The following is a 21,069-nucleotide window of genomic DNA, read 5'->3' as shown; positions in this document are numbered from 1 at the left end:
GAGTCAGCCGGAGCTGGGGCAGCATACGGGGTTGCAAGTGAAGCCGCTGAGAGGCAAAAGGGATGAGTGTTAGCTGCTGGGGGATTGGGAAGCGCAGGAGCTTCAGGACCAGCTTGTCTTGGGGGTGGTAAGGAGCCTAGGATGGGATGGTTGGGTGTTAGCAGGGTGGAGGAGGCCTGGTGTGGGCCCTTGTTTCTGCGTCACCCTGTCCTCTGCCCTTTCCCCTTCCTGGACAGGGGTCTCTGCAGTTCCCAGAAACCCAGTGCCCGGTGCAGAGAAGAGGGTGGAGCCTTGCCGCCCCCTGCCCCCGGCCTCCGACCCGAGCCCCCACCCGCCTGTGCTTGCCTCCCAGGTACCCCAGTGTGGCCTGCGAGATTCTGACCTCAGATGTGCCCCAGATCAATGATGCCCTGGGTGCTGATGAGTCCCTTCTGAACCGGCTCTACGGCTTCCTGCAGAGCACCGGCAGCCTCAACCCACTGCTGGCCAGCTTCTTCAGCAAGGTCATGGGCATCCTCATCAACCGCAAGACAGACCAGGTGCCCTGGCCCCCACCCTGGCGCCACCGTGGGTTGAGGGGTGGTGGCTGGGCCAGGCCCTGTGCATGACGCAGCCCGTGTGCCCCCAGCTCGTGTCCTTTCTTCGGAAGAAGGATGACTTCGTGGACCTGCTGCTGCAGCACATTGGCACCTCGGCCATCATGGACCTCCTGCTGCGCCTGCTCACCTGTGTGGAGCGGCCTCAGCTGAGGCAGGATGTTGTCAATGTGAGCAGGGCCGGCTCCTCTGGGGGTGGGGGGCTGGGCGTGGTGGACAGCGATGCATCCCTCGCCTTCTCACCCTCAGTGGCTCAACGAGGAGAAGATCGTCCAGCGGCTGATTGAGCAGATCCACCCGTCGAAGGATGAGAATGTGAGTGCTGCCGATGCCCCTGCGGATTCCCCTTAGAGTTCCTTCCCCATGCCCACTTCCCCACTTTTAAAAGAGGAATTGGGGCTGGACGCAGTGGCTCACGCCTGTAATTCCAGCACTTTGGGAGGGCGAGGTGGGAGGATTACTTGAGCCCATGAGTTTGAGACCAGCTTGGGCAACATAGTAACACCCCGTCTCTACGTAAAAACTTAGCTGAGTGTGGTGTTGCACACCTGTAGTCCCAGCTACTTGGGAAGCTCAGGTAGGAGGATTGCTTGAGCCGGGAGGTCAAGGCTATAGTGAGTCATGATCACACCACTGCACTCCAGCCTGGGTGACACAGTGAGACCCTGTCTCAAAAAAAAAAAAAGAAAGAAAAGAAATTGGTGAGAAAAGAGAGCATTGAGAACCAGGTGTATCCATGCCCTTTGAGAAAAGGAAAGAAACTTGACTCAAGTGATTCTCCCACTGTGGCCTCCGAAAGTGCTGGAAAGGTTTTTTTCATGACCCAGGAACTTGGCACATAATGCCTTGCAGGGAGGGGCCCTCCTCATCGCCTGTCCAAGCGCTGGCCCCACATCCGTCCCTGCCCACCCTGGCCTGTGCTATTGCTGGGCCTGGCAGCTTTTTCCCTGTCTCCTGCCTGATTGAACCCCTTGCTGTCCTTCTAAGTGTCCGTCCAGCAGCCTTGCTTTCAAGCGCCCTCACATCCTCCCCTTTAGCTCTGGGGGACCCCATGTCCATGTGTTTCTCCAGCTTGGGTCTCCATCTCTGTCCTGGTGCCCAGCACAGGGCCTAGTGTAGAGTGGGTGTTTGTCAAGAGCCTCAGATATCCGAGGCCACTGGGAGCAACATGTCCTTCCCAATGCCAACTTCTGCCTCAGAGGCGCACAGGCTTACAGAGCAGAGATGGCTCTGGGCTCACCCAGGCTGGGGCCTGTCCCTGTGAGGACCCTGAGGCATGGCCCAGGGCCACACTGCCAAGCCCTGGCAGCTGCCCGTTGGGTAGACTCAGCTCTGCTTATGCTTCTCTCTTTTCTCTCTTTTGTAGCAGCTTTACTGAGATGTAAATTGCACAGCATACCACTCACCCACCGAAGCTTACGATTCAGCGCTTTTAGGGTATTCAAAGCGTTTATCATCTTGTTGAATTTAGATTATTTTTTATCACTCCAAAAAACAAGTCCTGCCTGTAATCCCAGCGCTTTGGCAGGTGAGGCTGGAGGATTGCTTGAGCCCAGGAGTTTGAGACTAGCCTGGGCAACATAGCAAGACGTTGTCGCTACAAAAAATTGAAAAATTAGCTGGCATTGGTGGTGCACACCTGTAATCCTAGCTACTCAAGAGTCTGAGACGGGAGGATCTCTTGGGCCCAGGAGTTCAGGGCTGCAGTGAGCTGTGATGGCACCACTGCGCTCAAGCCTGGGGTGATGTAGAGGCCGTGTCTTTTTTTTGAGACAGTGTCTTGCTCTGTTGCCCAGGCTGGAGTGCAGTGGCGTGATCTTGCCTCACTGTAGCCTTGACCCCCCTGGGCTCAAGCAATCCTCCTGCCTCTGCCTCATGAACAGCTGGAACTAGAGATGCACACCACCATTCTTGGCTAATTTTTTTGTATTTGTAGAGATAGAGTTTTGCTATGTTGCCCCGACTGGTCTCAAACTCCTGGGCTCAAGTGATCCTGCCACCTTGGCCTTTCTTTTTTTTTTTTTTTTTTTGAGATGGAGTCTCGCTCTGTCTAGAGTGCAGTGGCACGATCTCGGCTCACTGCAGCCTCCACCTCCCAGGTTCAAGCGATTCTCCTGCCTCAGCCTCCCGAGTAGCTGGGACTACAGGCGCCTACCACTGCGCCTGGCTAATTTTTTTATTTTTAGTAGAGATGGGGTTTCACCATGTTGGCCAGGCTGGTCTCAAACTCCTGACCTCGTGATCCACCTGCCTCGGCCTCCCAAAGTGCTGGGATTACAGGCGTGAGCCACCGCGCCCGGCCCCACCTCGGCCTTTCAGACTGCTGGGATTATAGGCATGTGCCATCACACCCAGCCGAGACCCTTTCTCCAGAAAAAATAAAAAAGATGCCCTGTGTTCATTAGCAGCTCCTCCTGATCTTCCCCTTTCTCTTCTTAGCCCCCGGCAACCACCAGACTATTCTGTCTCTGTGGATTTGTCTTTGGACATTTCATATAATTGGAATCATGTACTACGTGATCTGTGTGTGGTTTCTTTCTCTAGCATGATGTTTTTGTGGCTCATTCATGTGGTTGCATGTATCAGTTTCACTCCTTTTCCTGGCTGATTAGCACTCTCCTGTGTGGATAGACCAGCTTGGGCATATTCACTCATCAGTCAGAGCCTTCTGGGTCATTGTGGGCGGTGCTGCCAGCCCTGTATGCGGTCATGAGGGCCTTGTGTGGATGCCTCCTGTCCTGGGGAGCCTTCCGGGCTTCCTGTTCTCTCCACCATCTTCCCTCCAGCAGTTGGTGCCTCTGTGCCCTCCTCCTTCGTAACACGTGTCCCTGTGTCTGGGTGACCATTTTTCCCTGGATGGTCAGCTCATGGGAGGGGCTCCCAGCACCAGGCTGCAGAGGGCCCGGTGGCCCGACCAGGATCCTCACCTGTCTCTCCCCGTTCCAGCAACATTCCAACGCATCCCAGTCCCTGTGTGACATCATCCGCCTGAGCCGGGAGCAGATGATCCAAGTCCAGGACAGCCCAGAGCCTGACCAACTGCTGGCCACCCTGGAGAAGTGGGTGTGCGGGCAAGGCTAAGGCTGGGGGGAGCTGACTTGGGGAAGCCCTGGGCCCCTGGCCCCTCACCCTGACCCCTGCCCCTGCCCCCGCAGGCAGGAGACGATTGAGCAGCTCTTAAGCAACATGTTCGAGGGGGAGCAGAGCCAGTCTGTCATCGTCAGTGGGATCCAGGTGCTGCTGACCCTGCTGGAGCCCAGGAGGCCGAGGTGAGGGATACGGGCCACAGACCATGCATGCTGCCCATCCCCAGGGGCTCTCCGGCCCCTCAGAGGCGGGTCTCGGTGTCCACCAAGAGAAATCCCCGCCCGTGGCACCTTGCTCTGTGGCTGCCTGTGCTCCCTGCACAGTGGACAGTACGGGGCCGAGGGAGGAATCTTCTTGTCTGCTTTGACAAGTGAGGGCACTGAGGCTGAGGCCACTGCTGCAGCTTGTGTTGGGAGGGACCCCAGGCCCCCGTGCCCCTGCCTTACCACACAGGCCGCTAGCCTGTTGGGTTTGCCTTCCCGCCTCCACCCCTCACCCGTGCTCTCACAGTGGACTGCCAATGCTGCCGCCTGGCGGGCTCCCCACCCCAGCCAGGTGTTGTCTGAAGGGCCTCAGAAGAGAGCGGCGCTGGGGGCATGTGGCTCCTCGTTTTCCTCCAGACCCTGCAGACGTGGTCCTTGTGCCTACTCCTGTGTGGGCGCACAGGCCATCTAGGCTCACTCCGCCTTCGACCCTGCCCTGCTGCAGGTCCGAGTCCGTGACCGTGAACAGCTTCTTCAGCAGTGTGGATGGGCAGCTGGAGCTCCTGGCCCAGGGGGCCCTGGAAAGCACTGTGTCCAGTGTGGGCGCCTTGCACGCCCTACGCCCGCGGCTCAGCTGCTTCCACCAGCTCCTGCTGGAGCCTCCCAAGGTCAGGGGTGTGGGTTCTGGTCCTCGGGGAGGCGGGGGAAGCAGGAAGGGCAGCCCTTGGGAATCAGGCCTCCCTGTGTCTGCAGCTGGAGCCGCTACAGATGACATGGGGCATGCTGGCTCCGCCTCTGGGCAACACGCGGCTGCACGTGGTCAAGCTCCTGGCCAGTGCCCTGAGCGCCAATGATGCAGCCCTGACGCACGAGCTCCTGGCACTGGACGTGCCCAACACCATGCTGGTGCGGGGACTGGACCGGGCTGGGGGTTCAGGGGCTGGGGCGGGGACTGGACTGGGCTGAGGGTTCGGGGGCTGGGGTGGGGGCTCGGCTGGGGGCTCAGGGGTTGGGGGCTCGGCTGGGGCGGGGCCTCTCTGGTACCAATCCTGTGTCCTCCCATAGGACCTCTTCTTCCATTATGTCTTCAACAACTTCTTGCATGCCCAAGTAGAGGGATGCGTGAGCACCATGCTGAGCTTGGGGCCACCTCCTGACAGCAGCCCTGAGACGCCCATCCAAAACCCTGTTGTGAAACATGTGAGCTGGGACTCCCTGGTCCCCCTCCTTCTGGGCCCATCCCCTGTGGGCGCACCCTCTCCAGAGGCCTACCCCTCACTCCTTCCTCCCACAAGTGTTTGTTGGGTAGTGTTAGGTGCCAGCGCCCAGATGGGGTGTGGGAGGCATGGCCAGGGAGAAACGCGGATGAAACATGCAGGTGCAGGGAGCAGTGGGCTCCTGACTTGAGCTGAAGAGCTAGGGGTGGGCGGGAGCAGACCTGCGAGCAGCTGAGTGTGCATGAGTGCGCACACGTGCGTGTGTGAGCATGTGTCAGTGCAAGCGTGTGTGAGAGCATGTATGTGTGTGAGTGCACACGAGTATGTGAACATGTATGTGTGAGCATGTGTGTGTCCGTTAGTGCATGCATGTGTGTGTGTGTGTGTGTGTGTGTGTGTGTGTGTGTGTGTGTATGCACCACATATTCTTTTGTAGAAAGACCAGAGAGACTTGGGTGGATGCCAGGGTCCCAAGCCCCAGCTTGCATCCCTCCTTCCCATCCCCGTCTCTGGATGAGCGGGGGCCTGGTGAAGCATCTGCTGAGGAAGGGACCCCTGCTGCAGTGCAGAGCTCCCCACATGTGTGCAGACCACCCCTCCAGGCCATCCTGTCCCGCTCTCCCGCAGCTGCTGCAGCAGTGCCGCCTGGTGGAGCGGATCCTGACGTCCTGGGAGGAGAACGACCGTGTACAGTGAGCACCTGCTGCCCTTCATGTCTCCAGGGGCTGGGGCTGCCTGGATGGGGGGCCGGGCTGGGGCTGGGCATCCCTGGGTCCAGTCCTGGCTTGCAGCCGCGGCCTTCACTCTTGCCAGGTGTGCGGGAGGCCCTCGGAAAGGCTACATGGGTCACCTGACAAGAGTGGCCGGTGCCCTGGTGCAGAACACGGAGAAGGGGCCCAATGCAGAGCAGCTGCGGCAGCTGCTGAAGGGTGAGGGTCCCCAGGCCGGCCTGAGGGCTAGGTGGGGGGCTTGAAGCCCCGAGATGCCTCACGTCTTCACCCCTCTCACCTAAGCAGAGCTGCCCAGCGAGCAGCAGGAGCAGTGGGAAGCCTTCGTATCGGGGCCCCTGGCGGAGACCAACAAGAAGAACATGGTGGACCTGGTGAGGCCCAGCTTCTCTTCCTGCACTCCTCCTGCTGCTTCTCTCTCTTGGGCCAGTCTTAGCCTCCCACCGCCACCGATAGCTGCCTGCCCACCCTGGTCTGGGGGCTCCAGCAGGCCCTGACGCCCCCTCCTCTCCCCAGGTGAACACCCACCACCTACACTCCTCCAGTGACGATGAGGACGACCGGCTCAAGGAGTTCAACTTCCCTGAGGAGGCTGTGCTGCAGCAGGTGGGCGTGGGGCTATGTGGGGCTGTGCTGGGCTATGCTGGAGTGGGGTCCTGCCCAACTCCCTCCAGCCCTAACCTCCGCACCCCCACAGGCCTTCATGGACTTCCAGATGCAGCGCATGACCTCTGCCTTCATTGACCACTTCGGCTTCAATGATGAGGAGTTTGGGGAGCAGGAGGAGAGTGTGAAGTGAGTGTCTCCTGCGCAGGGTCACAGCCCTGTCCTGCCTCTGCAGCAGCAGGCGCGCCTACTTGTATCTGTCCCCTGCACGCACCTACATGCCCTGTGGGCTCAGCCTGCAGCTGTGGCCCCTCCTGGGCACGCGTTGGCCGTGGCCTTGTGTGTGTGTCTGCAGCCTCGTGTGTCTGCCTCCTGTTACATGAGTTCCAGCTCTGCAGTCTCTTCTCTCCGAGAGGCAGGCCATGAGGGTGGGGCACAAACATCTTCTGTGCTGGGGACACAGAGCGGGTCCCTCCCACTCCTGGAGCTAGCCTTAGGGGTTCCAGGCGGGAGGGGCTCAGGGTAGTGGGGACCAGCAGTCCTGGCGCAGGGACTGTGGGGCAGAGCTGCACCTCCATGGATGCCCTCTGGCTCAGGAGTCTGCCAGACATGGGGGTCCAGTTTTCCCCTCCACAGGCCTCGGGGTAACAAAACTTTTTTTTTCCAATTACCAATTCTGCTTGTTTTGATTTGTGGGTCAACCACATCTTAATATCAGTCACCTCTGGGTGTTATGATCATGAACTTTTCTGAGTTTCTTGCCACAAGCATCTGTTGCTTCTGGAGTCAGAAAAAAGTGGCTGGGCGGAGTGGATCACACCTGTGATCCCAGTACTTTGGGAGGCCGAGGCAGGCAGATCACCTGAGGTCAGGAGTTCGAGACTAGCCTGGCCAACATGGCGAAACCCCATCTCTACTAAAAAATACAAAAATTAGCCAGGCGTGGTGGCAGGTGCGTGTAGTCCCAGCTACTTGGGAGGCTGAGTTAGGACAATCGCTTGAACCTGGGAGGCGGAGGTTGCAGTGAGCCGAGATTGTCCCACTGCACTCCAGCCTGGGCAACAGAGCGAGACTCTGTCTTGCTCCCCACGATGAGCTCATTTACGGCCAGGGAGACTGAGGCCCCAGGACATAGCTGGTTAGTGTGTGGGAGCTGGATGGCTGCCCATGGCTGCCCCGGGGTCCCTGTACAGCACAGCGTAAGGGACACCACGATGAGGGATAGTCAGCTGTTCCTGGCTTAGTCCACAGCTGGACAGAGGTCCTCTCAGATGCAGACGTGATATCCTGTGTTGGCTGCTTCTGTGCCCAGCATGGAGACTTGCAGAGCGTTGGTCTTTGTGGGTCAGTGGCCTGTGCCGAGACCCCTGGAGAAGATGCTCAAGTGAAAACTGGGCTGGACACAGTGGCTCACATCTTAATCCCAGCACTTAGGGAGGCCGAGGCAGGAGGATCGCTTGAGTTCAGGAATTTCAGCCCAGCCTGGGCAACATTGTGAGACCATCTCTGCTTTTTTAATTAAAAAAAAAAAGAAGAAAACCCCACCCTGGCAGGAGAATGAAGGGACTGACTGGTAGATGGCATTGGGGTCACCAGCTGCCCCTTTCGGGATGAAACTGTTAGCTTTTCCTCTACCAAGAAAATTCCAGAGGGGTTAAGAAGTTAAGTGAACAAAACTAAACCCAGAAAGATTTCCGGAATGGAAAGTGGATGACTGGTTTGATCATCTCAAGGCTGAAGATGCTGCCCCGCATAGCTCCTGTAGCAGAAGCCAGGTCAGCTGAGGCTGCCAGTGCCACGGGGACATGGGCTGCCCTGCCCTAGACCCACTGTGTGCCCAGCGTGGTCTCTGCTCCGCTGCTTCTCAGTGTCTAGGAGGGACTAAGGACACTTGCCTTGGAAGGTGGTTGTGAGAATGAAGTGCGTGAGTAATGTCTGTCACATACTTAGTGTCCTTTAAGAATTAACTGTCCTTTATCCATTGATCTTTGTGGCAGAATTTTTCATGAATTTGAGACAAATGATCCCTTGAACTGTCCGTAACACGTGGGACAGAATGTGGACCCTGATCATTAGACCCTCGTGGTGAGGGAGGTGGGGCCCTGGCAGGCACAGTTTAAGTTTTGACGTGATTCTTTTTCCCATAATTTAGAATTTCAGCCGCGGACCGTAGACATCTTGAGGTTAGGGGATGTGCTTTATTGGGCTGTAGTCTCACATTCTGCTTGTGCCTGGCTGGTGTGAGTGTCAGCCTCCTACAGATGCCCCAAGGATGGGGACAAGGGCATGGATCTGAATCCCTCTCTGGCACCTGTCCTTGGAAGAGCCTGAGGAGAGTCGCTTAACATTTCCGAGCCCCATTTTCTCACTTCTAGAGCCAAGGGAAACAGCCTACCTCAATGAGTGGTTTTAAGGATTTAAAGTGATCATATGTGAGATGTTGATATTCATGTATGCGTTGCCCCTTAGGACCAGTGGTTCGGGTTGTGTGTGAATTTGCAGATACCAAATCTGCAAGTAATGAGGGTCAGCTCTGTGTTGAGTGAAGAAAGAAATGTGGCCTGTCCTGTGCTGCCCCCACCCCCAGGTGGACCTTCTCACCATGCCTTGCCTTCTCTCCTAGCGCACCTTTTGACAAGACAGCCAACATCACCTTCTCCCTCAATGCTGACGATGAGAACGTGAGTACTGCCCTGTCCCCTGGTTGTGGCGGGTGGAGGGGTGTGGGGCTGTGGGCAGTGTGGCCCATCCTCCCACCCCTGTGCCCTGCAGCCCAACGCCAACCTACTTGAGATATGCTACAAGGACCGCATCCAGCAGTTTGATGATGATGAGGAAGAGGAGGACGAGGAAGAGGCCCAGGGCTCAGGGGAGTCTGATGGAGAAGATGGCGCCTGGCAGGGCAGCCAGCTGGCCAGGGGGGCCCGTCTGGGCCAGCCACCTGGTGTCCGGTGAGTCCCCCTCCAGTTTCCCTTCTCCAAGCTTCCACCACACGGCAGGGCCAAGGGGTCCCCCCAACACATTTGGACTGAGGCTGAAGTGAATGAAGAAAATAAGGAACCTGCATTGGTGTGTGTATTAGTTGGGGGCACTTTCACTTTTGAGTGATAGAAATCTAATTCAAGGCCAAGCATGGTGGGCTCATGTAATCCCTGAGTGCCTGTAATCCCAGTACTTTGGGAGGCCAGGGCAGATGGATTGCTTGAGCTCAGGAGTTTGAGACCAGCCCTGGGCAACATAGGGAGATCCTGTCTCTACAAAAAATACAAAAGTTAGATGGGCATGGTGGTGTGCACCTGTAGTCCTGGCTACTCGGGAGGTTGAGGTGGGAGGATGGCTTGAGCCAGGGAGGCAGAGGTTGCAGTGAGCCGAGATCATACCACTGCACTCCAGTCTGGGCAACAGAGCCAGACTTGTCTCAAAAAAAAAGGTAGATGATGCATTAAGAAATCAACAAATTAGCCGGGCACAGTGGCTCAAGCCTGTAATCCCAGTACTTCGGGAGGAGGCCAAGGTGGATGGATCGCTTGAGCTCAGGAGTTTGAGACCTAGCCTGGGCAACATAGCGAAACCCTGTCTCTACAAAAATTACCTGGATGTGGTGACGTGTGCCTGTAGTCCCAGCTACTTGAGAGGCTGAGGTGGAAGGATCGCTTTACCCTGGGGGGCGGAGGTTGCAGTGAGTTGAGATCGCACCACTGCACTCCAGTCTGGGTGACAGAGACCTGGTCTCAAAAAAAAAAAAAAAAAAAAGAATCAACAAATTAAAAAAAATCAGCCGGGCACGGTGGCTCACGCCTGTAATCCCAGCACTTTGGGAGGCTGAGGCGGGCGGATCACGAGGTCAGGAGATCAAGACCATCCTGGCTAACATGGTGAAACCCCGTCTCTACTAAAAATACAAAAAATTTGCCGGGCGTGGTGGCGGGCACCTGTGGTCCCAGCGACTTGGGAGGCTGAGGCAGGAGAATGGCGTGAACCCGGAAGGCGGAGCTTGCAGTGAGCCAAGATTGCGCCACTGTACTCCAGCCTGGGCGACAGAGCGAGACTCTGTCTCAGAAAAAAAAAAAAAAAGGAATCTAATTCAAATGAGTTAAGTTATGAAAAGAAAGGGATAATCTCTGTGGCTGAAAAAATAGGCAGGTCCTGAGGTATGGCTTGGTCTGTGTGTGTCTCTCTCTTCCCGCCTCCCTGTCTCCTTCCTTCATCCCTTCACTTCACTTCCTCGTGTTAGCTCTCACACGTTTTCCTAGAAAGGGGGGTAAGATGGTCCCAGGCAGCTTCTCTCTTCTCTAATTCCAGTAAAATGAGAGATGATGACGTCCCTCTCCAATCAGGCTGTGATGACATTTTAGTGCAAATGTTACATTGTTTTTTTTTTTTCTCTTAATACTGGCCGGCCCCAGAGTCGCTGTGATGAAATGGGTTCATGCCATGTAGATTTGACAGCCTGAACACTAAGTCATCATCTGCAACTGAGTTTTTGACTCATGACTTTTGATTTCGGAATTAGGCTGTTTTCACTTTTTATTGACATGTAACATGCGTATAGACAAGTGTACATACAGATCCTGAGTGTGTGGCCAATGGATATCCTTCCTCAGTGCCCAGACCCAGGAGCAGGACCTTCCCAGTACCCACATCCCCTCTGTTAGCCAGTATCCTCCCTTCTGAGGGTAAAGTTGTCCTGGCTTCTAACCCTGTAGATGAGTTTTGTCTCTGTTTTCACTTGATATAGCATACAGCATCTCCTTTTATGTCTGACCTCTGTTGCTCAACACTCTGCTTGTGAGCTCCTTCCCTGTTGTGTGTTTGGGTGCCCCTGGCTCTCGTGCAGTGGGGCAGTGCCATGCATGATGAGCTGCAGCTGAATTGCTTGTTCTGCAGTTGACAGGCCTTTGGGCAGGTTCCTGTTGCTCGCTGCTGTGAGTGCAGCCGCTGTGAGTGCGGCCGCTGTGAATACCCTTGCACGTGTTGTTGGTGCACAAGTGTGTCACTGCCAAATCCAGCATCTTGACTTAGCCCTCTCTTTTCTTCTAAGAGTTTTATAGCATTATTTCTATGGTTTTCCATTCATTTTGAGCTAAATTTTGTATATGATGTGAGGTGGTCCACCTTCATCCCTTTACATATAGATAACCAGTTTTCCCTGCACCAGTTGTTGAAGACACTGTCCTTTCTCCACTGAATCATCTTGGCACCTGTGTAAAAAGGAAATATTTGACCATATGTATGAGTTTGTTTCTTCCCTCTCTGTTCTGTTCTATCAGTCTGTGTGTTGTTTTTATCCAGTACCACACTGGCCTGGTTGCTGTTGCTTTATAGTAAGTTTTGAAAATGGGAGGTTTGTTGGGCACGGTGGCTCACACCTGTAATCCCAGCACTTTGGGAGGCCAAGGTGGATGGATCACCTGAGGTCAGGAGTTTGAGACCAGCCTGGCCAACATGGTGAAACCCCATCTCTACTAAAAATACAAAAATTAGCCGGCTGTGGTGGGTGCCTGTAATCCCAGCTACTCAGGAGGCTGAGGCAGGAATATCGCTTGAACCTGGCAGGCAGAGGTTGCAGTGAGCTGAGATCGCACCATTCATTGCACTCCAGTCTGGGTGACAAGAACGAAACTCCATCTCACAGAAAAAAGAAAATGGGAGGTTTTAGTTTTCCAACCTTGTTCTTCTTTTTAAAGATTGTTTTGCCCTATTTGGGATTTCTTGAGATTCCATATGAATTTTAGGATCAGCTTGTCAATTTCAACCAAGAAGCCACCTTGCGTCTTCTAATACGTGAACATGGATGTCTTTTTATATAGGTCTTAAAATTTCTTTCAACAATGTTTCGTAGGTTTTAGAGTATGAGGCTTTGTATTTCTTTTAAGTTTATTCCTGTTTTCTTCTTTCTGTTACTATTGTAAATGGAATTTTCTTGAAATTGTTTTCAGATTGTTACAAGTATATGAAAATACAATAGGTTTTTGTATGTTGATCTTTCATCCTGCAACCTTGCTGAACTAATGTATGAGTTCTGATAGTTTTAGTGGACTCCTTAGGATTTTCTATGTACAGAATCATGTCATGTGAATAGAGTTCATTTTCCTTCCTTTCAAATCTGGATGATTTTAATTTCCTTTTCTTGCCTGGTTGCCCTGGCTAGCCTCCGGGACAATGTTGAACAGAAGTGGCAAGAACAGGCATCCTTGTTTTGTTCCTGATCTTAGGGGGAAGCATTCAGCGTTTTGCCATGTAAGCATGCTGTTAGTTGTGGGGTTTTGTAGATGCCTTATGTTAGGTTGAGGGGCTTCCTTTATACTCCTTAGTCGTTGAGTATTTTAGTTTACTTTTAACTATATACAGATATATTACTTTCCAGTTAAAGTAGTCAGTTACTCTGTTAAGACAAAAATATTGGGTCAGCATTTTAGACATAGTATATAGTCCCATACTGCATCTTTGGGTCAGCGATGGACCACATATGACAGTGGTCCCGTGAGATTATAATCCTCTATTTTTGCTGTATTTTTCCTATGTTTAGATACACAAACATTTACCATTGTTAGAATTGCCTGTAGTATTCAGTACTGTAACATGCTGTATAGGTCGGTAGTCTAGGAACAATAGGCTATACCACAGAGCCTAGGTGTACAGGAGGCGCCACCATCCAGGTGTGTGTAAGTGCACTCTAGAATGTTCACACAATAGCAAAATCGCCTAATGATGGCGTTTTTCAGAGTGCACCCTCGTTGTTAAAGCTTAGTTTTAGTGTTACTTTGCTTACCCCTTCCCCGGTTGATCAGCACGTAGGTTGCTTGGATTTTCTTCATGCTCACAGGTGTGTGTTAGTCAACATTCAGCCAGTGTTTTTGGAGCAGCTATGGGTGCCTGGTGGTTTCTCAGGGCTGAGGATACAGCAGTGGCAAAACTCAGCCATCTCTGCCTTCTTGGAGTTTCTAGTTGGAGGGAGAGAGTAGTGTGAAGCCTCTGTCCAGAGGGTGGGCCTGCTGGTGGGAAGGCCTGTCACTGTGGTGACCGTGTGAGGTGACGGCTGGGAGGTGGCTTGAGAGCTGGTGAGTGGGTCTGTCTGCTCTGGTTGCCATGGCTGAGGCTCAGCCCACTTCCCCAGGGCCTGCCCTCCACGGATGACTGGCGACGGACGGTCTCCTTACGGCCGCATTCTGTCCCTGCCCGCCTGTGTTCTTGCCGTTGGCTCAGAACTCCCTCTCCCAGCCTCTCCTGGTGTCGTCACACCCCAGGCTCCCTGGACCCTTCTGTGACCTGCCTGTCATCCCAGCCCGCTCTCCTTGGGCTGACCCTGGGCTGCAGGGAACAGGATGGGTGTCGGCCGGTCTGTCCCACACAGCTAGCTGACGAGGTGGTTTCTGGGGCAGGAGTGGAGGCAGCACAGACAGTGAGGACGAAGAAGAGGAGGACGAGGAGGAGGAGGAAGACGAGGAGGGCATTGGCTGTGCAGCCCGTGGAGGGGCCACCCCTCTGTCCTACCCCAGCCCTGGCCCTCAGCCTCCAGGTGAATGAATGGGCGGTGTGGTCAGGTGTACACAGGGCTGTCTGCCTGCTACTGAGTTCACCCTCCATCCCGCTCCCCCACCTCTATCCCAGGCCCCAGCTGGACAGCCACCTTTGACCCAGTGCCTACAGATGCCCCGACCAGCCCCCGAGTCTCCGGGGAGGAAGAGCTGCACACTGGGCCTCCAGCCCCACAGGGGCCCCTCAGTGTGCCCCAGGGCCTCCCCACTCAGAGCCTGGCCAGCCCTCCTGCCCGTGACGCCCTGCAGCTCAGGTGAGAACCGGATGGAACGGGCTAAATGGTGCTGGTATCCCGAGGCCAGGAGGTGGCCATGGGGTCCCCGTCCTCTCATAGGCTCGAGTGCTAACCCTAGCTGCCCCCTTGGGCTGCCTCTCTCGCCTACCAGGTCTCAGGACCCCACACCCCCCTCAGCACCTCAGGAAGCCACAGAAGGCAGCAAAGTCACGGAGCCCTCAGGTGAGCCCCGCTTTGCCCTGCCCACCCGCGGCCCTGGGCAGAGAGAGCAGCCTGGCCAGCTCCGAGCTTGCTGGGAGCTGCAGCTGAGATCTCTTATCCCCCACAGCCCCTTGCCAGGCCTTGGTTAGCATCGGGGACCTTCAGGCCACCTTCCACGGGATCCGTTCTGCCCCCAGCTCCTCGGACAGGTGAGCAGCGAGGTGGGGCTGCCTAGTATCGGGAGAAGTCTTTTCTCCTCTTCGCTGAGGTGGGCTCTGGGTTCATCTTGTCCCTGAGCTGCTCCAGGCCTCCTTTGCAGGACCCCCAGGCGCAGCCTCATGTTGTGCCCCAGCCCCTTGCACTCTGTAGGCTGGTTCTTCTCTTAGTAGCCTGGGATGCTTGGGGCCCTTGAGCCCCAGGGTTGGGAAGGGCTCGTTGGAGGGTGTGAAGGATTGGGAGGGTGAGAGCATGCAGAAGACCCTTTGGGGCTGTCTCAGCCGGCCTCGAGTACCTCCTCCACAGGGACAGGAGGCGGGAAGAGGGGTGCTTGTCTTCCTGTCCAGGGCTGTGCTGTCCCTCCACGCTGAGCCAGCTGCGTCCTCGGGAGGCCCCTCCCCGTGGGGCAGGTGGCAGACACACACCCAGTGAGCCGACTTCAGTCGGGTGGGATGTGAGGGTGTCAGCAGGTGACGGTGGGGGCCACGCTGACAGCCGCACCTGCCTCTCACCCACAGTGCAACCAGAGACCCCTCTACCTCTGTCCCAGCCTCCGGGGCCCACCAGCCCCCCCAGACCACAGAAGGGGAGAAGAGCCCAGAGCCCTTGGGGCTTCCCCAAAGCCAGAGGTGAGCACCAGGGCAGCAGGGCGGGGGGGTGGGGGTGGGGCTGGTGGGGCAGGAAGTGACCTCTGCACATCCCCTCTCTCCCCTGACAGTGCCCAGGCCCTCACGCCTCCTCCGATACCCAATGGCTCTGCCCCGGAAGGGCCTGCATCCCCAGGCTCCCAGTGAGTGTGGCTGCAGCCTCGGGCTGGGTAGGTGGGGCTGGGCCTGCTAGACCCTCACACGACATCTCCCTCTGTTTCCAGATAGCTGCCTGGTGCGGCAGCGGCGGCCAAATCTTCCGTCCTCCCGTGGATCTCCCGGGGTGGGGGCAGGGCGGGTCCCACGATGGCCCCCATTGCCCTCATCACCCTGACACCCCCACATTCTCTCCTCTGGACCCCCAGGAGGCTGGTGCCAGGGAGACAGGCCCAACCCACCCCCATTTGCACTGAGAAGAGAAGTTTTGGAGCGTTGCCTCCTAGAATAAAGATACAGAGAGTCAAATAGAGAGAATGGAGAGAGAGAAACATATATTATATATTATATAGAGAGAGGGAGGAGAGCGAGAGAGAGTGAGGACACCGAACTGGGCTGGCGGCTCCAAAGCACAGCCTTCCCTGTTCCGTCCCAGCGGGAGCTGGTGTTAGGGGTCCCAAGGTTGCCACCCACGTGCCCAGCTGTCCCACGCTGCAGCGCAGACGGCCACGCCCACACCCGGCCTTTTAGCTCAGGTCCACCATGGGGGACGGCCCAGCGTGGGTGGGGGTGCCAGAGGGTCCCGAGTGGGGGCCGTGCCTTTGCCCAGACCCTGCACTTTCAACCAGGCCAGTCCGGCTCTGGGGAGCAGGGGCCTCCCCGGCAACAGCCCCAGGGGCCTTGAGGGTCTGAGGTCCCAGCCCTGTTGCCAAGTGACCTTGTCCCCAGCTCCCTCCTCCCAGGCTGGTGTGAGTGTGCGTGCGTTTGTGCCGAGCTTCTATTTCATATTGCAAATATAAATAAAGGAAGGCAGTTTACGATTCTGCTGGTCAGACCTTACGTTCTGGGATGCGGGGTGGGGAGCCTGTATTATCCCTGCACCCCAGAGGCTGGGGGTGCTCCTGACCCAGTCTGCCCCCACACTGTCCTGCCAGAGGGAGCCCTGTGGCTGCAGAGGCCCCAGGCTGGGCCAGGCACTGGCTGTGAGGGCTCCTGCCAGGTCTACCCCACCTGTGGGCAGGGCCTTGGGCAGAGGATAGAAGCCACCGACAGGCTCAAATCCCTGCTCCTGCCCCTGCTTACCCCCAGTAACCAAGCCCAGCATTGAGGCTGGGTACTGGCGCCCAGTAGGTCTGAGTCTTTCAGGTAGAAGGTAGAAGTGTAGGCTGCGTGTGCAGCGAGTGGCACCGGTGAGCGGCGCTGGGAAACCGGAGCGTGTGGACCGGGCCATGAGGACAGCGTCCTCACTGGGGTGGCAGTTGGCTTGGAGGTCACCTGGGGGCTCGCTCAGCTAACAGGAGAGGGTGCTTGTTCCCCGCATTCGTGGTGGTCCCTCCTGGTCACCCATTGAAGCAGTGTTTGTGGTGGAGCCCCTGAGGGCTTGGTGGGGTTGAGCAGAATGAGGAAAGGTTTCATGGAGCAGGGAGGGAGACGGCTAGGGCAGCAAGTGAAGGACAGACTCGCCTTCCCATCCCTCCAGGGGCACTCCTGCCAGCCAGCCCCTCTCCCGCTTCCCATGATGGGGTGGCTGTTGGAATTCTGCACCCCATCTCTTCTGATTGTTGGGGCCCAGGACAAGGGGACAGGCATTTGTGGGCCTAACCTCCCCAGGCAGATAGGAGGAGGAAGCCATGTCCCAGCAGGCTAGGGCAGAGGGACCCCCAGTGCCAACAGTGCTTTATCAGCGGGCGCCAGGCAGGGCCATCCCCAGGGTGAGGACAACATCTCCCTGGGCCCTGTTATCAGTCACAGAGTCCACAGGACGCTCCTTGGGTTAACGTGTAACCATGAGCCCTCCCCTCCACCCCCTGAAGCCACTCGCTCCCAGATTAGGTCGCTCTGGGGCTATCAGGCCAGCATGGACGCTGGCAAAGCGGGGCAGACCCTGAAGACTCACTGCTCAGCCCAGGTGAGAGCCTTCTGAGCTGTGCCTGGGGCTGGGGGGACAGGGCCCTGGAACCCCAGCAGCCGGCGGGTCTGGGAGCTGCTGTCCTTGAGTTGGTTGGGCCCTGGGAAGCTGGGTTCTGGCAGCCTGGTCCCTGAATGGGTCCAGCCTGTACAGCTGGGGTCCCAGGTGGGGGTGGGACAGGAGCCATGAGATCTGAGTCCCAAGAATGGGGGCTGGGCTGGGTTTCGGCTCAGTAGCTCCCCACTCCCCAAAGCGCCCAGATGTCTGCAGGTGGCTGAGCCCCTTCATCCTCTCCTGCTGCGTGTACTTCTGCCTCTGGATTCCCGAGGACCAGCTGTCCTGGTTCGCTGCCCTGGTCAAGTGCCTGCCCGTCCTCTGCCTGGCTGGGTTCCTGTGGGTCATGTCCCCAAGCGGGGGCTACACCCAGCTCCTCCAGGGAGCCCTTGTGTGCTCGGCTGTGGGGGACGCTTGCCTCATCTGGCCGGCAGCCTTCGTCCCTGGTGAGTGGAAGGTGCTGTGACGCTTTCCAGATGCCCGTGTGAGAGAGGCCCCAGCACTTGGATGGGAGCCTGGGTGCAGAGGGCTCCTGTGAGAGCTCCAGTGGTCAAAGGCACAGTGGGGGGCGCAGCCGTGACCGAGGCAGCTCACGCTCCAGCGAGGGGTGGGGGCAGGCGGTGTTAGGGCAGTAGCTGAGGTGGCGCAGAGGGCAGTGAGGACCTGCTGGAGGTACTGCAGTTTGAAGCAGGGTTGCTGAGGAAGGCCTCACTGAGGAAGTCACATTTGGGCAGAGCTGAAGGGCTGTATGCCTGTGTGGAGGAAGGGCGAGTGTAAAGGCTCCGGGGCAGGGACGTGTCAGGTGCTTGTAGCCCAGCAGGCCAGGGTGGCTGGCGCAGAGTGGCTGGAGAGCTGGAGGCCATGGGGCTTTGGAGGCCAAGGGAAGGTGGGGCCTCCTGGCAGTTCTGAGCAGAGCAAGGATGGACACTGCATGTGGGGAGACCTGCAAGGAGGCTCGGCCAGGGTGGGGCCTGGTGCTCTGGGATGGTCCTTCTCTTAGGCCCTGAGGGGTGACCTCGGGGCCATTCCCAGGATGGGCCTTCCTCACTGGTACCCCACCCCTCTCCCGCCAGGCATGGCCGCCTTTGCCACCGCCCACCTCCTCTACGTCTGGGCCTTCGGCTTCTCTCCCCTGCAGCCCGGCCTGCTGCTGCTCATCATCCTGGCCCCTGGCCCCTACCTCAGCCTTGTGCTCCAGCACCTCGAGCCGGATATGGTCCTGCCGGTGGCAGCCTATGGGCTGATCCTGATGGCCATGCTGTGGCGCGGCCTGGCCCAGGGCGGGAGTGCCGGCTGGGGCGCGCTGCTCTTCACGCTCTCTGATGGCGTGCTGGCCTGGGACACCTTCGCCCAGCCCCTGCCCCATGCCCACCTGGTGATCATGACCACCTACTATGCTGCCCAGCTCCTCATCACACTGTCAGCCCTCAGGAGCCCGGTGCCCAAGACTGACTGACTAGGGAGCTTGAAGGGCCGGTGTTCAGGCCCTCTCCTCCTGCAAGGACCTGGGCCTCCCAGCCCAGCCCAGCCTGAGAAATACCCTCAGCAGCGAAGCTTCCTGACGCCTGTCTGCAGGCGCCGCTGCCGCCGTCGCTTCTGGCTGAAGACGTTTGAGGACGATTTGCGGAATTCCAAGTCCACTACTGGGTTCCAGCTGCCTTCCCCCGGTTCTGACTCCAGATCCCTGGCTCCTCAGCCAGGCCCACATGGAGCCCTCCCAGCCACCAGCCTGCCTCCATGTTCACTGTCGGCCCCACAGCCTGCCCGCCCCCTGCTGCTGCTCTGAATCCGTTTTCCCTGTGGGTGTGGAACCGTAGATGTTGCTGTTACCGTAGGAGAGGCCTCGGGGAGGGTCATGATTGTGATAAACCATCGCGGTTAATGACAGCAGAAGGTTCTTTGTCGCTCCCCATGGACCAGGCCTGGTGCCCAGTGGGACCCTCCATGGCCCTCTGGTGGGGGGATTCGGGGGGATAAAGTGAGGATTGTGCAGAACTGAGCCAAGAGGACTGTTTGGTCTTTGTGTTAGTTTCCTGAGGCTGCTGTCACAAATTACCCCAAGCCAGATGCTTTGAAACAAGATGAATGGACTCTCCTGCAGTTCTGGAGACCCAAAGTCCAAAATCCGGGTGTTTTCCGGCCCATGGTCCCTCTTGAGGCTCCAGGGAAGAATCCGTCCTTGCCCTCTCGGCTTCTGGAGGCTCCCGGGAATCCCTGGCTTCCATCGGCCTGTGGCTGTGTCTCTCCGTCTTCATGTGACTGTCTTCAACTGGCAGCCTCCCTCTGTGTCCGCATCCTTCTAGGGACACAGGTCATTGGATTTAGGGCCCACCCTAAACCCAGGGTGATTCTATCTCAAGATCCTTAAGTATGTCTGCAAAGCCCCTATTTCCAAGTAGTGTCACCTGCAGAGGTATCTGGGGTTAGGACTTGGACATATCTTTCTAGGGGATACAACCCGCTGCAGTCACATGCAGTATCGGGAGAAGGGTGGGAGGCTTGAGGATGAGGGGTCTTGGAGGAGGGAGGGCGGCAAGGGGGTAGGAATCAAATGGGAAGGAGGAACCCAGCTGTGCTCCTTGTCAAGGCTGTGTGACCTCGGCAAGCTGCTATCCCTCAGGTCCTCAGATTCTGCATCTGAAGACTTGACAGGGTCCAAGCTGCTCTCCAAGACCCTATTTGACTTCTGCATCCATGATGTGCTTTCAGTGACTCATAGCAGAGGGGCGACTTCTCCATCCATGGTTAGCATTTAGAGACTCTTACAGCAGAGAGGCGACCTCTCTATCCATGACCTGCATTTAGGGACTCTTAGAGCAGAGGTGACTTCTCCATCCATGACCTGCATTTAGGGACTCTTACGACAGAGAGGGGACTTCTCCATCCATGGCCAGCATTTAGGGACTCTTACAGCAGAGAGGTGACTTCTCCATCCATGACCTGCATTTAGGGACTCAGATGTGAGAGTACAGAGGTGGGAAGGGAAGGTGGGGAGCCTGGAGGACGGGGACCAGGAAGGAAAGTGAGGACAGGAATCCACAGTTGGAGTGAGGAGAAGTGGAAGCTGAGGGATTTCCTTGAGGAAGGGTCAGGCATGAGGAGGATCTGAAGGATTGGACTCAGGTTCGAAACCTCCACTTCCTCCTCATCTCCTACCCTCTCCACTCAGACCTGGCGAAAGGTGGGGAAAGAGGAAATTGCGCAGTGAAGTGTAGCAGGAGGGACGGGGGTCTGGGTGTGCAGATTCCAGGGGCACGTGGGGCCTGCAGACATGAGGGGTTCCTGGAGGTGAGGGAGGAGGGGCTGGAACCTGGACTCCTGGGTCTGAGGGAGGAGGGGCTGGGGCCCTGGACTTCTGAGTCTGAGGGAGGAGGGACTGGGGCCTGGACCCCTGAGTCTGAGGGAGGAGCTGGGGGCCTGGACTCCTGAGTCTGAGGGAGGAGGGGCTGGGCCTGGACTCCTGAGTCTGAGGGAGGAGGGGCTGGGCCTGGACTCCTGAGTCTGAGGGAGGAGGGGCTGGGGGTCTGGACTCCTGGGTCTGAGGGAGGAGGGGCTGGGGGTCTGGACTCCTGAGTCTGAGGGAGGAGGGGCTGGGGACCTGGACTTCTGGGTCTGGGGGAGGAGGGGCTGGGGGCCTGGGTCTGAGGGAGGAGGGGCTGGGGGCCTGGACTCCTG

At 57.2% G+C, this 21,069-nt stretch overlaps 2 protein-coding genes and 3 non-coding genes across 19 annotated transcripts in view; all 5 read left to right on the top strand.

Moving 5' to 3' along the window:
• Nucleotides 1-17,813, top strand: part of PPP6R1 (protein phosphatase 6 regulatory subunit 1) — a 30,800-nt gene extending 12,987 nt beyond the window's left edge. For 11 of the 14 annotated variants that reach the window (XM_047438423.1, XM_047438429.1, XM_047438426.1 and 8 more), the window contains 22 exons: nucleotides 353-539; nucleotides 629-766; nucleotides 846-911; nucleotides 3,543-3,655; nucleotides 3,752-3,865; nucleotides 4,392-4,554; nucleotides 4,640-4,792; nucleotides 4,952-5,086; nucleotides 5,731-5,795; nucleotides 5,917-6,032; nucleotides 6,120-6,205; nucleotides 6,348-6,437; nucleotides 6,529-6,626; nucleotides 9,061-9,118; nucleotides 9,210-9,388; nucleotides 13,820-13,956; nucleotides 14,049-14,229; nucleotides 14,363-14,433; nucleotides 14,540-14,621; nucleotides 15,147-15,257; nucleotides 15,347-15,418; nucleotides 17,246-17,813. In XM_047438423.1, the coding sequence (XP_047294379.1) occupies nucleotides 353-539; nucleotides 629-766; nucleotides 846-911; nucleotides 3,543-3,655; nucleotides 3,752-3,865; nucleotides 4,392-4,554; nucleotides 4,640-4,792; nucleotides 4,952-5,086; nucleotides 5,731-5,795; nucleotides 5,917-6,032; nucleotides 6,120-6,205; nucleotides 6,348-6,437; nucleotides 6,529-6,626; nucleotides 9,061-9,118; nucleotides 9,210-9,388; nucleotides 13,820-13,956; nucleotides 14,049-14,229; nucleotides 14,363-14,433; nucleotides 14,540-14,621; nucleotides 15,147-15,257; nucleotides 15,347-15,418; nucleotides 17,246-17,264 (2,434 nt within the window). In that variant the 3' untranslated portion in view covers nucleotides 17,265-17,813. Of the gene's footprint in view, nucleotides 1-352; nucleotides 540-628; nucleotides 767-845; nucleotides 912-3,542; nucleotides 3,656-3,751; nucleotides 3,866-4,391; nucleotides 4,555-4,639; nucleotides 4,793-4,951; nucleotides 5,087-5,730; nucleotides 5,796-5,916; nucleotides 6,033-6,119; nucleotides 6,206-6,347; nucleotides 6,438-6,528; nucleotides 6,627-9,060; nucleotides 9,119-9,209; nucleotides 9,389-13,819; nucleotides 13,957-14,048; nucleotides 14,230-14,362; nucleotides 14,434-14,539; nucleotides 14,622-15,146; nucleotides 15,258-15,346; nucleotides 15,423-15,499; nucleotides 16,253-17,245 lie in introns of those variants that run through there. The other 3 variants (NM_014931.4, XM_047438420.1, XM_047438421.1) reach the window with 2 other exon arrangements.
• Nucleotides 781-845, top strand: MIR6803 (microRNA 6803). The gene has a single exon (NR_106861.1). It is a non-coding gene; the product is annotated as a microRNA 6803 (primary transcript).
• MIR6802 (microRNA 6802) lies at nucleotides 6,055-6,119 on the top strand. The gene has a single exon (NR_106860.1). It is a non-coding gene; the product is annotated as a microRNA 6802 (primary transcript).
• On the top strand, nucleotides 15,079-15,146 carry MIR6804 (microRNA 6804). The gene has a single exon (NR_106862.1). It is a non-coding gene; the product is annotated as a microRNA 6804 (primary transcript).
• Nucleotides 17,268-19,393, top strand: TMEM86B (transmembrane protein 86B). Of its 2 annotated transcripts, NM_173804.5 has the most exons (3): nucleotides 17,268-17,340; nucleotides 17,594-17,840; nucleotides 18,468-19,393. In NM_173804.5, exons 1-3 carry the CDS (start codon nucleotides 17,290-17,292, stop codon nucleotides 18,848-18,850), a joined length of 681 nt encoding a protein of 226 aa, NP_776165.3. In that variant the 5' UTR covers nucleotides 17,268-17,289; the 3' UTR covers nucleotides 18,851-19,393. The 2 variants fall into 2 exon arrangements, with proteins under 2 accessions (NP_776165.3, NP_001358942.1); NM_001372013.1 differs by having other exon boundaries at nucleotides 17,268-17,840.
• Nucleotides 19,394-21,069: the final 1,676 nt, after the last annotated feature.

This window comes from Homo sapiens, chromosome 19 (genome assembly GCF_000001405.40).
Source record: "Homo sapiens chromosome 19, GRCh38.p14 Primary Assembly".
Taxonomy (NCBI): Eukaryota; Metazoa; Chordata; class Mammalia; order Primates; family Hominidae; genus Homo; species Homo sapiens.
The sequence above is the reverse complement of the archived record's forward strand: the minus strand, read 5'-3'. Positions and strand labels throughout refer to the sequence as shown.

Excerpts from the sequence above, each read along its gene's own strand:
- TMEM86B (NM_173804.5), top strand. The coding sequence starts at position 17,290 with ATGGACGCTGGCAAAGCGGGGCAGACCCTGAAGACTCACTGCTCAGCC. Across the intron at positions 17,341-17,593 it reads AGACTCACTGCTCAGCCCAG|CGCCCAGATGTCTGCAGGTG; the intron begins GTGAGAGCCTTC and ends CACTCCCCAAAG. Across the intron at positions 17,841-18,467 it reads GCCGGCAGCCTTCGTCCCTG|GCATGGCCGCCTTTGCCACC; the intron begins GTGAGTGGAAGG and ends CTCTCCCGCCAG.